Here is a 13,754-nt window from a genome sequence, read left to right as displayed (position 1 = left end):
TCTGGAAAGATGAGCAAGCATACCAGAGAGGTCCTCTAAACACAGCACACAAACCTTCACTTTTGGAGGAAGGTTCGTCTTTCCCCTGCTTTGCTGGCAGTACATGGTGTTTCAGCAAGACTGCCACCCCAAAAAGGCTTGTATGGTGAGTTTAAGAACCATGACGGGCTAAATCTTCCTATGGCACTGCTCTGATTATGTATCTCACCAGCCATGACCCCTTTAAAGGGCTCCCAGTTGCCTACTTATTTGGTTAAAATCCACTAGCAAGTTAGACCCTTCTCACCTCTAACTGCTCCTTTGGAAAACATTCCAGGATTCCCTCACACCAAGTAGCCTCCCCCATAACATGTTCCTATGGCACTCTCAACTTCCCACCCTTCACACCCTCATGATTTCTTAAGTATTTGTTTAATGTCACCAGAGCTAGACTGCTCAACCCTGTGTTGGTGGGGACCAGGTCTTTTTGTTCACATATCCAGAACAGTGGCTGACACTGAGTAAGTCCTCAAATATTTGTGACTCACCCAGTGACTGACCAACTTACTTACTATTCTGGTCCTAACTTAACCTTTTCAGCTTCCTCTCCTGATTCTCCCATACATACACCTATGTTCCATCCAAATCTACCATTCCCTAACAACTGTCTTTACTTTTCCTCCTCTGTAACTGTTCATGCTCTTCCTTCTTCTTGGATAATGGACATTATTTTCATCCCAAATAAGGACAACCAAAAACTGAGAAGACAGAAGAAATTTTTTATTGATGTATAATTTCACATACCATAAAATCCACCTGTAGTTTTTAGTATATTCACAAGTTTGAGCAGCCATCACCATTATCTAATTCCAGAATATTTTCATCACCCCAAAAAGAAGCTCTGTACCCATTAGCTATTGTTCCCAACTCCTCTCCTCCCCCAGCTCCTGACAACCACTAATCTACTTTTTGTCTCTATGGATTTACCTATTCTAGATATTTAATTTAAATGGGATTATATAATATGTTGCCATTTATGTCTGGCTTTTTTCACTTAGCATGATATTTTCAAGGCTCACCCATGTTGTAGCATGTATCAGTACTTCATTCCTCTTTATGGCTAAATAATATTCCATATGTGTTGATATGCCACATTTTATTTATTCATTCATCAATTAGTGGACATTTAGGTTGTTTCTATTTCTGGTTATTATGAATGATGCTGCTATAAATATTTGCATATAATTATTTGTGTAAACATGTGTTTTCAATTATCTTGGTTATATACCTAAAAACAAAATTTCTGGGTCATAGGTAACTCTATATTTAACTTTTTGAAAAACTGCCAAATTGTTTTTCTAAAGTAGCTGTACCATTTTTACCTCTCTACCTGCAATGTAAGAGGATTTCAGTTTCTCTACATCCTTGCCAACACATGATATTATCTGATGATGATGATGATCATGATGACAATTGCCATTCTAGTGAATGTGAAGTAGTATCTCATTGTGGTTTTCATTTGTATTTTTCTGATGGCTAATGATGTTGAGCATATTTTCATGTGCTTATTGGCCTGTTTTATATTTTGTTTGGATACATGTTTATTCAAATCCTTTGCCTATTTTTAACTGTATTTTTTTATTGTTGAATTGTAAAAGTTCTTTACATATTCTAGATTCTTATCAGACATATAATTTATAAATATTTTCTACCATTCTATGGGTTGTCTGTTTGCTTTCTTGATAGTGTCCCTGAAACACAAAAGTTGAATTTTTGATGACGTTCAGTTTATTCTTTGGTTGCTTGGGCTTCAGGTGCCATATCTAAGAAATCATTGGCCAAACTAAGGTCACAAAAATTATGTCTTTGAGGATGTTGCCTTCTAAGAGTTTTATAGTTTTAGCTATTACAGTTAGGTCTTTGACCAATTTTATGTTAACTTTTGTATTTAGTGAGAGTCAGAGGGTCCAGATGGATACTTTTGCATGTGGATATCCACTTATCTCACCACACTTGTGGAAAGATTATTCTTTCCCCATTGAATATCTTGGAAAGAAGAAACATTTTTAAGACAATCTTGACCAAACAGTCTGGCCCTGATTAAAAAAAATAATAATAAAACAGCCACCACAGTCTGAGGTATGACAGTCAAGACTGCAGAGATTGGCTGGAATATTTTGTTCCTACCTACGATGTGAAAATTCCATGAGAAGCATCTCAGCCCACCTCTCCTATATATATATTAGTAGGTTTTAACCTTGTTTAGAGTAACTTATCCAATGAGATTGTGGGCTTTTTAATATACATAGTAATATTCTGCTTAAAATGTTAAAAAGTTCACAGACACCCTCAAACAAAAATCCTATCCACAGATCTTTGGTTAAGAATCCCTGCTCTACTCTCCTTCCCACAGAGTTCTACCATTGCCAAGGCTGAAGCGACACCCCTCAGTGCAGCTGACTCACTTTGTGTTCTATTTATTTGTTTGTGTGTAGCCCTGATCTCTCCTTTAAGCTCCACAGTGCCACCTAACTCCTAGATATGTGTACCTTGTGCCCAGGCATCTCCAGCTCAACACATTCAGCTCATCATCTTCCCTCCCCCCACCCAGCTCATACCCCCACTTCCCTTTTTCTGGTCACAGTGCTGTTCTTCCCATCACGCAGGCTCAAATCTCAAAGTCATCTTCACTTCTTCTTCCTCTCACCACCCCTCCCCCAACAGCTAATTCAGTCTCCAGGTTTATATAGTTGTTCCTTTAGCCTAACCACCTGTCAGTACCCTGCCTAGTCCAAGCTCCTATTCTGAGGCCTGGGCTGATGCAACAGATGTCTCTGGCCTTGCTCATTTCTTGCCTTTGGGTTCTATACTTTCTAATTTATTTGAGTGCCAGACTTAACAGGTGAAAGGATAGTTCTGAGCATTTCCCTCTCTGGCTCAGAAAATCTTAATGGCTTGTCGTGGTCCTCTAAATGCAGTGCAAACCCAACTGGTCAGAAGTCCAAGAGCTTCCATTCTCTGACTGCAGCCAACCACCTGGCTTCATCTCCCGACTCTCCCCAGACTCCATGTCCCAGCCAGTAGTGGCACCAGTGACATTATTTGCACCATCATGCCACTTACCTTCACTCACTGCCCTGCCACCATTCTTGGCAAGCTAACCCTGCTGTGCCTTCAAGCCCAGCCCACTGTGATTGCCTCTATGAGGACTTTCCTGATTGCTGCAGGAGGACTCACTCATCTCTCATAGTAATTTACTTATTTTTATGTGACTTTTGCCATTATTGTGCATCTGACACCTCTCTTAGCACACAGCAAAATGCCTTGAGCAAAATGCTTCCTTAATGAATATTGGTCACATTCAGCAGTGATTCTCATAAGGGAATGTGAATCAGAATCACTTGGGGAACTTTTCAAAATACCCCACTTTGGGACCCAGACCTCAATATTTGAAAAGTTTCCACTGATGATTCTGATGTGCATCACTAATTTGACTACTTGTCAAATTAACAAATGATGGTAAAAAATATACTGAACATCTACTATGGGCCAGGCACTGCATATGCATTATCTCATTTAATCCTCACAGAAACTCTGGGGTGGGGTGGGGGAGGTGGTATTATTATTTGTCCATTCTTCAGATGACGAAACTTGCGCTTAAAGAAACTAAATGCTTTGCCTTAGGTGGGTCATGTATAAATAAATGAAGTAAGTGAAATGAAGGTCTCTAAAGGTCACTTACAATCTATTTGAGAAATTTAACAGTAATTTCCCAAGAAAATCTATGTTCAGATTTAATAATTTTGAGCTGGTTTCTCATTTTCTTAGCTTTGTGACCTTAGACAAATTACTTGCCCTATCTGAGCATGTTTCCTCTTCTGCGGAATGAGCATTATACCTACTATTATTGTAAGGTAGAAGGAAGGATTCAGTGAGTTACAATATGTAAAGTACTAAGTGCCTACACACAGTAAACGCTCAATAGGTTAAGCTATAACTATCATTATAACTATTTTTATTCCAAAATATGCACCAACCCAAGGTATTTCTTCTTAGCTGCAGTCAGCAATGGGGGCTGAGGGTCAGGAGGACTTAAGTAGGTCACTCGCAAGGCTGACTCTCAGTGTTCAGAGCCGGTCTTATAGGTGGGGCAGAATTAATAAATAGATTTTTACTGAGGATTTCTAGGTGTCAGGCATTGGATAAAGAGGTGAATAGAGATAGGGTCCCTACCCTCAGAGAGATTACAATTTTTTGATACTGAGACAAGGGCCACTCCACCCATGGGGGAGTTTGCCCATTGGCTTGGAGGCCTGTAGGTTCTTGGGGAACCACCTGTGTCAAGACTGTTTCCCTCTGAACTTAGGAGTGTCCCATTTCCACTGCGTAACATTCCCCTCCAAGACAGCAAGGGCAGCAAGAAACACAGAGAGACTTTGGGGTTTCATTACTTCTACCACTGCCTGGAATCTCGTAGCTTTCAAACTTCCCTTTGACATTAACCAAACATGGTCTAGTTCTGCTTTCTCTCCTTCCTAAATGCACTCTAGGGTGGGGAAAGGGGGTGATCTTAAATGACTGCAATGTGTTCTTCTGCAGCAAGAACACAGGCATATGAAATATTTCAGTTATTGCAGCCTGCATTGGACTACAAGTGTTATTTTAACTCTTGAAATTGCACAGCGTTTTTTGGATTAGCAGTGTTCTTTCACATACACCCAGTGAGGTAGACATTATTACTCTCTGTATAGAAATTAAGAAACTGAGTCTCAAAGAGTTTTTGTAACTTACCCAATGCCACAGCTAATGAACCTATTTGACATGAAACTTTTGGGGAGGTTCTTTTAAAGGGAAAAGAGTGTGGGTGGAGGTTGAAAAGGGAATCTTTTGCCTCCCCTCTTTTTCCCATTTCTTGCCTAAAATTCAGACATTATGGCTATCGTGCAAGCAGCACCATATTGTGACTTTAAACTTGAAAGCAATGCAAAAAGCATGGCAAACCTCCCTTTTTGAAAAACGAATGAAGGCTAGGCCGCTGATGCCTTCTTGCAACACCAGACCAGCCCTGAACAGAGTACATTTGGCTTTTTTTTTTTAATGTGTTTAAGATACTATAGGTGAGCCTCTATTTCTAGTAGCTATAAGCACTTCTTAGCTGCTACACAGGATAATCTACAATTGCATAAAACTGTTAACAATCACCAATAGGGACATGATTTAGCAAATAATGTCACATCATTATTAACTGTCCCTGAGAGCCACTCATTCTCCATTTCTAAGAGGGACCTATATTATCCCCTCCTACATAAACCATTAAAGGAATAATTATTAAAAAAGTAGATGCACATTCTCAGGTCCATGATATACCTAATGGAATACGCTCTATGATTAAAATAATGAAAAAAGTCTGTATGAGAAGGAAAACAATAAAATCTAATATATAAAAATAAAACAGAAATTTAAGCTGGCAGAGTCATGATTTTTTTATTCTATTTTCAAAATTATCTTTAATATTGTTGCTTTATCCTTCAAATTAAAGTATTAAAGAATTTTTAAAATGCTGAGTTCTTTAAATCAGTGCTATTTACTTGCTAATAAACATATTCAGTTTTGCCGAGGAGACATAGAATATATAGCTATCTAGTATATGAAGCCATCTCTCCTGATGATGACTAGTATTTGAGTAATAGAAGGAATTATAATCCACATTCACATTCTTAAAACCAAACTGGGGAAGCAAAGACAACTCCTTGAATTTGGTAAATTCCTGGGGTCATCTGAAGAGAGCATCCTGGGGTATCGGGAAAGTTCCTTAGGCCAGTGTGACCAACCCAGGTGGCATGATCACACACAAGAGAGGACTCCCCAGCCCACAGCTCTCCTGCTTCTTCAACCTGCAGCACACAGGAAATAGGATTCATTCTCCAGTGTCTGTCCTTTCTTTCCAATTTTTTATTTCCCTTTAGTATAAGAGGCCATTGGGGACAATCAGGTTTCTCTGGACCCACTCTTTTGATTCAATGCTGTTTCCAATTTCCTAAGACAACATTGCACTGGACCCTTGCCTCCTTTCTGAATTCATTGTTTTATGCCGTACTGCTTCTCGTGGGGTTTCCCCATAACTCTTGTTTCTGTATAAAGTTGCAGGTGAGTATAAGTCGGGGGGGAAATCCATAGCATTTGAGAAAAACAAGCATACATGAGCATCTGAGTAGGAGAGGGTGGTGGTGGGTGGGACAGAGGGAAAGATAACAAACATATCCTTGCAGAGCCTATGGTGTGGGCCATGAACCGTCCTCTCCCCAAGCCTTTACTTATATTCCCAGGCCAACTCCTTTAAAAGATGGGTCACAGCATTATTGTCTCTAATGTACAAAGAATTAGTTGTGGCTCCTAGAGTTAACTAACTAGTCAAATTTACACCAGGAGAAGTGGCTGGGAAAACAAGGTGGGCTCAGATATGTTTCACTCCAAATTCATGGTCTTCCCATCACACCTGCAATGGATTCACCAACACACAGAGGATAGTGAAAGTCTCAGTTTATTTTCTAGTTAGATTACTAACTTTGTTTACATGAGGCAACGCACTGTCATCAAGAAAAAAGAAGACAACAAAGAAGAGAACTGTTTTGCAATAGCAGGCAGCACAGCGCAGGAGCTCTCAGACTACCTCAGATGCCAAGAGCCTGGTTTGAATACAAGCCTTGCCATTGTGTGACTTTGGGTAAGTTTCTTAACCTTTCTGTGCCTTGGGTTCTTCATCTGTAAAATGGGAATGAAAATTTTACCACCCATAGGGCTGTTATGAGACTCAAATAAGGAGGTAGTGAGAACACACTTAAAGCAGTACCTTCTGCAGAAGTCTAGTTCTGAGACATCTGAAAGAAGCAAGGAGGAGCAACTGGGAAAATGGGGTGATTCTGTAGACCAAAAGGTTGAGGAGTGTTGCACCTTTCTTACTCTTAGGTATTTACAATACACTGTAACAAATTAAATTCAAATTCCTACTTTACATAATAGAATTTATTTTGTGTAATTTTCTCTTTCTCCAAACTTATTTGAGGGTAGCAACCCACTTCACCTAACACTTCTGAATGTCCTTTAGTGTAGGGGGTATCTGGCACTCAGGAACCCCTTCTTCCCTCACATGAACCCTGGGGAGCAACCAAGGGGGACTTCAGAAGGCTCCAATCCTACTACATATTTTTGCTCAATGTTTCTCAAAAGTCTAGTGGATTTTTTCCATTGGTGATTTGCATGCAGGTCCCATGATTACACTTTGAAGTTGATGAGTAATATTTAGGAGTAGAAGTCTTTCCACTTCTAGTTCCTCACATTAGTAGGTTATGTGGGCAAGTTAATTAACCTAGCTGGTTCAAGTCTTGCTTTCCACTAGAAAGAGATCTATGCATAAAATTAATAATTACTACATCCTTTCAAATACAAGCCAATTGCACTTTACTAGAAAAAAATCATACCCAAGCCCTGCTCCAAAAAGTCATGAGAATAATTAACAAAGCCAACAGTAAGACATATTTACTCACAATTAGAAACTGAAGGACTGAATAAGTCATTCTGCCTGCATGGTTATATATTTTCCCACCGATCTGTGAATCTGTGAAATATAGCGGTCCAAGAGGGTTTAGCTAAAACCAGGAGACTGGATGTTAAGGTCGTGTGTGACACAGGCACATGTGAAAGATGGCCATGTCTGGAAGAGAACATAATTTCTACTTTACCTAGGGCAGAGTGCTCACAAGAAAATACAACGTGATTAACCAGGAAAGATTGAACCAGGCCTGACCCTTCTGAGGCAGATTTCATGGAATGGTATATATATATATTTTTAATAGAGATTGCCAATATTTTGTCTTGCCAAATAAAAATTAAAATAAGGAAAAGTTACTATCCACTATCACCACATTTCAGTAAAGAAAAGAGACATTTTACCAACATAAAAATAAAACAGACTTAATTTTGGAATAAAAGACTGTTCTTAAAATTGAATAAATGTAGTGATGTGAAAAACCTCACTGCCTTGCCCTTTCTTTTTCATTTCCTCATGCATCAGTGAAAATGCTATCCAATACTGGCGCCACTCCAAGGAATAGTATATGGGAATGACTGCTTTAGCAAGGTGTCTCCTTCTGGCTCCTTCTTGTGACCTGGGGCAAATTACTCTGAGGTTCAGTTATCATCCATGAAATGGAAATAATGTGTGCTTTCCTGGCCTACCTTACAGGACTGTGGTCAAATGAGACACGGGACAGGGTAACATACACAATATGACTCTAGAAAAGGTGAAGAATCATACAACGGCCCAGGACTATTATTTTATCTCCACTTAAGTTATACACTTATTCCCAAATTCCTGGGATTAGATGATTTCATGATAAAATTGTTTCAGAGAAACAGCGAATGCCAGATGCTCACACATTTTCCCTGTTAAGAAAATAAAATATAAATTGATAGTTTATCATGTAGAATAGGAAGTTGGATCTACATTTAAGGATCACCATTAGAAACTCGTTCAGTACTGACAGATATTTGATCCAGTTCATCCTTTGGTTCTGGGCAGATGCCACCTAAACCAAGTCACACAAGTGGGAGTCTTTGCCATTTTTAAAGATTCCAAAAGAAATTTTACAGACTTAAGACTCAGTGTCTCATAGACAACATGTTTCATTTATCTCTGTAACCACAGTACTAGAAACAATACTGGAAACAAAATAGAGGCTCAATGAATACTGAAGAAATGAATAAACCAAGGATCTGGTCTCTGGCAAACCATTTTTCAGTTTATTGCCTTACTGAAATCATCAGTAAACTGGGAAGAAAACTATCCTAAGTCCTGGAGAAGTTACAAATATTTAATTTTTATTATATATATGATGGGAATATAAACTGGTATAGTACAGCCACTTTGGAAAAAACAGTTTGACAGTTCCTCAAAATGTTAAACAAAACAAAACAAAACAAAAAACATAGAATTATCAAATAACTCAGCAGTTTCAATACTAGGTATATACCTAGAGAATTGAAAACATATGTTCACGTAAAAACGTGTACCCAAATGTTCATAGCAGCATTATTCATAATAGCCAAAAAGTGGAAATAACTCAATTGTCCATCTAGTGATGAATGGATAAACAATATGTAGTATATTCTTACAGTGGAATATTACTTGGCAATGAAAAGGAATGAAATACAATTACCTGCTACATAGATGAACCTTGAAAACATGCTAAGTGAAAGAAGCCAGACACCACAGATATAACACATCATATATTACATGATTTCATTATATGAATGTCCAAAATAGGCAAATTCATAGGGACAGAAAGTAGATGCATGTTGTCAAGGGATGGGAGAGTGGGGATCAGAACTAACTACTAATGGGTATGGGGTTTCTTTTTGGGGTGGCAGAAATGTTCTGGAATCAGTAGGGATGATTGCACAAACTAAACTAATTTAGTGAATAAACTAAAAGCCACTAAAGTGCACATTTTTAAATGATGAGTTTTATGTTATTTGAATTATATCACAATGTAAACAAAAATTTAAGTATAACAGGCTGTAAGAAAAGGGAAGTTAGTAGTAACAAGTGAATTATGCTTCACTGAATCAGCATTCAAGAAATTAGTGTCCAATTATGCCTCTACTTTCAAAAGAGCCTTCTTTTGCCAGAGCTATTTAAATTTGTGCTACTAACTTTATTCTTTTCACAATACCTAGTAGCTAATATGCACTCAATAAGTGATGAATGAATGTATACATATGAAAAGCCCACATTCAATTTTCTAACAAACAAGATTTTTAAAATGCATTCATTTTGGGAAATAGCAGGAAAGCCACCCAGACTTTTCATAAGGAATCAAAAAACCCAACATAGTGGCCCAACTAAAAACTGAATAAGCACCAGGAAGCTTGACTACAGAGTACTTAAGCCTTGAGAATATTCTCAAAAGAGTTTTACTCAATGAATGATTTGAATTGGGAATTCTCAAAGTTTGAGATGCTTTCAGTTATATCAATTAAAGTCTTGAACTCTTTTTAAGGTTCTCAAAATAAAATCAACTGCACATTCTTAAATAGTGAAAGCAAATCTATACAGTATATTTATAGAGAGAAGAGCATAGTACTAAGCAGGCAAATCACAGCCAGGAGTAAAAATTCCAAAAAGATTTGGAATAACAATATCGAAAGGATTTGACACAAGATTTGTTTATCTCTAGAGAGAAGTTCCAAAGCCCCAGTGAGTTCTGTTTTCAGGGAATATCTGAGCTGGGGTATGGTTTCTCAGCACATAATAACCCGTAGAAACTGAATCCTTAATTTATAGAGGAGGAAACAAAGACTCAGAAACACAAAGGGACCAGCCTGAGACCACCCTGCTGGTTAGGGCCAGAGCTGAGCCTAGAACCCACACTTCTTGATTTCCAGTGTTGTGTTTTCCCACTGCCTCTTTCATCAGCTTTTGCCAGAACTCTATACATTATGCTGTTTTCAAACTGTGTGGGATATGCTGAGAAACTGTTGGAATTTTAATGTGGCTAAGGTGACCATAATGAGTTTCCTCCAGATTCACAGATTTCATAAATACCATAAGTGAAGGTTTGGCCTGGGTTCAATAGAAAAAAAAAAAAAAAAAAGAATTTCCTACTTGCCCATAGGCTCCTCATCTTGGCCTTAATGCTTGGAACTATTTGAAAAGTTGCAATTCTTCCCATAAATTTAGCTATCCCCTTCAGGTGGGCAAATTCATCCTTCTGTATACAACCTCAGTGAATGCCACTCATTCTTTGAGCTGGTGAGGAGGAGGGGGAAGAAGCCAGCTTTGACTTCAGGCTTTGCCAAAAACAAGTCATATAATTTATAGCAGAACTAAGGAAGGTATAATCTGCAAATTGGCTGTGTATTTATTTTTCTAAGACATAAGTGAAGAGTTCTTGGGAGGTAGCACCACATGGCAAAGTGTAAGTTCTTTGGAGGCCAGGGGAAAAATATCTTCGTGGGGAGAAATTGCAGAGGCAGCGTGGGGGACAGCGATTGGTTTTGTCTACCGAGCACTCATTCTGCCTTCTTTTGATCAAAAAAAAAAAAAAAAAAAGCCTCACTTTTCCTTTGGAGGAACACCCACTGCTCTCAGTCCATAAAACATGGACAGAGCTGAAATTTACCAGTCCACTGCTCTACCAACTCAAAGGGTGGTCATGTGACTCAAGTTTGATTAGTCAAGATATTCTATCCCCCACCACTGTGATTGGCTCGAGGATAGCCCCCTAGAAAAGCCGGCCAATGAGACTCCACCCCAAATTTATACTGGGCACTTTGGGAAAGAAAGCTCTCCTGTCACTTGAGTCACAGCTGTGAGAAGCTGCCAGGAATACCATGGCAAGAGATCCCACCTGTAAGACACTCTATACCAATGCAACACAGGGAAGAGCAAGGACAAAAAATGGTGAGCAAGATAAAAATGGGCAAAAGGGACACCAAGTGGAAACCTGGATTCTGCCCTTCCTAAAGAAAGAACTATCTCTGGGCTATAACTATGGCAGCATTTTTTTTTTTTTCCTGGAAACTAGCACTAGAAAATCTAAGATTTTCTAGAATCTTAAATAGCAGCACTTTTGGCTTAAGTTCAGATTCTGTCACTTGCAATAGAGACAGATAGTACCATGCAGTGGTTATGCAGACTCCGAAAACACAGAAACTAAACGTGGATACTGGTTCAGTCACTTTTCTAGTTATGAGACCCTAAGCAAGTTATGCAATCTCTCTAAGTTGCAGTTTTCTCATCTGCAAAATGGGAAAAATAATATTTGCTACTGGGAGCAGTAAATAAGTCATCTACCCAAAGCACTTACAATAGTTGCTGCCATATAACTGGTGTTCAACAAATGTGAGGTATAAGTTTTAAAAAACATACTATAATAAAAGCAATCTGATGCCTGCTATCAAAGATTAAAGTTACTACAATACTTTTCTATTTTTCTAAGTTTCACTAGTACATGAGGAACACTTGTCACTTAAATAGCTTGTCATCAAACAGAGGCATAGAAATGAACCTGAATATCATACTTAACATACTTTCTGATGTTTCTAACAGAGGAGAAATAACATTGAAGAGATAATCATTATAGTTCACTAAGAGAATAAAGAGTGCTCTAGGCTGGGCGTGGTGGTTCATGCCTGTAATCCCAGCACTTTAGGAGGATGAGGTGGGCGGATCACTTGAGATCAGGAGTTCGAGGCCAGCCTGGCCAACATGATGAAAGCCTACCTCTACTAAAAATTAGCCGGGCATGGTGGCGCATGCCTATAATCTCAGCTACTCAAGAGACTGAGGCAGGAGAATTGCTTGAACCCAGGAGGCGGAGGTTGCAGTGAGCTGAAGTCTCACCGCTGCGCTCTAGCCTGGGCAACAGAGTGAGTAAGACTTCATCTCAAAAAAAAAAAAAAAGAGTGCTCTAGTATAGCCTATGCTCTATATGTCAACTGTGTTCAAAACAAACTAAAGCAAAATATTTAAATCTATGTATGAAAAATTCCAGAAGAAACTGCAATAAAATGAGTGAATGAGAGTGAATATTGCCTGATATTAAGATTTCTCTTTTACTTTTCTCTGTTTTCTAAGTGTATTCAATAAGCATCAAATGTATTTTTGTTTTGAAAGTTTTTTTTGTCTGTACCAAGCTTTCAGAATGTTAATTAAAAAATTGAAGAATGATAGACTATCAGAGATGAAAGAGAGAATAGAGACCATTTTCACCAACTCTCTCATCTTACAGAGGAGAAAAACTTGTTCAAGATCAAATAGCTAGGCACCGACAGCACTGAAATTTTAGCCCAACATATCTACTAATTCAGAAAAGTTCTTGAAGGAGACACTGTTGATTGAACCACATCACCTAGGTTAATTCTACCAGTCTTTCAAGACCCCTTTTAAATATCACCTCCTCCAGAAACCTTTCCTTGGGCATCAACTAGAAGAAATCTTCCCAAACTTCAATCTCCATAGCACCTTATTTTTACTTTATTATTGTCCTTATTATTCTTCAGGTGTGCTTATGTCTCCTTTATTAATCAATAAGTTCCTTGAAAGGGACTTGGTGTCTTTTTCATGTCTGTTCCCCTAGCATCTGACACCATGCATTGGCAAGTAGTAACCACTTAGTGAAAGGTTGCTGAAAACAGGATATTATATTGCTTCAGAATCTATGTAACATAATTGTCTTAGTTTGGAAATAGAACTCAATTACATAAACAGAGAAGTCATCATCACAGGATCTTTCCTGGGCACAAGGAAGATGATACTTCCTAGGCCCATTGCAGTTGGGAAGGACTCCAAGACTAGATTTGGCCAAAGAGCTGTAAGTAGAAGTGCTGTGTGTCATTTCCAGTCTGGGGCAGTGAAAAGCTTTTGTGAGACTCTCCAGTTTTATCTTCTCTTACCTTAGCATCCCAGAAGCCACTGCTGAGAAGCAGGGACCTTAAAAGGAGGTAGTCATCACTTGGAGAACTACACTGGAGAGCCACTGGGTTTACATCAGGCAATTCATGAACAAGAAAGATGTCTTTGTTGCATCAGGTCACCAGGATTTGGGGGTTACTTTGTTGCTGCAGCTTAATTTAGCTTTGCCAGACTAAAGCACAGACATTGTGACAGAGACTTCCGTTGGTAATCCATTCTTTCTTTATTCTTACCTACAGAATCTTGGGCAATGTTCCCAGCTGAAAAAATATATTACATTACATTACATCACATCATCCAC

General features: G+C 38.6%; 1 long non-coding RNA gene across 1 annotated transcript in view; it reads left to right on the top strand.

The window, feature by feature from the left end:
* Window positions 1–6,622: 6,622 nt before the first annotated feature.
* LOC105378415 (uncharacterized) overlaps window positions 6,623–13,754 on the top strand; it is a 31,664-nt gene continuing 24,532 nt past the window's right edge. Inside the window, exon 1 of the long non-coding RNA XR_007062225.1 lies at window positions 6,623–6,703. This is a non-coding gene — a long non-coding RNA (uncharacterized LOC105378415). The remainder of the gene's footprint in view (window positions 6,704–13,754) is intronic.

The sequence above is a fragment of the Homo sapiens genome, chromosome 10 (genome assembly GCF_000001405.40).
Source record: "Homo sapiens chromosome 10, GRCh38.p14 Primary Assembly".
NCBI lineage: Eukaryota > Metazoa > Chordata > Mammalia > Primates > Hominidae > Homo > Homo sapiens.
The sequence above is the reverse complement of the archived record's forward strand: the minus strand, read 5'-3'. Positions and strand labels throughout refer to the sequence as shown.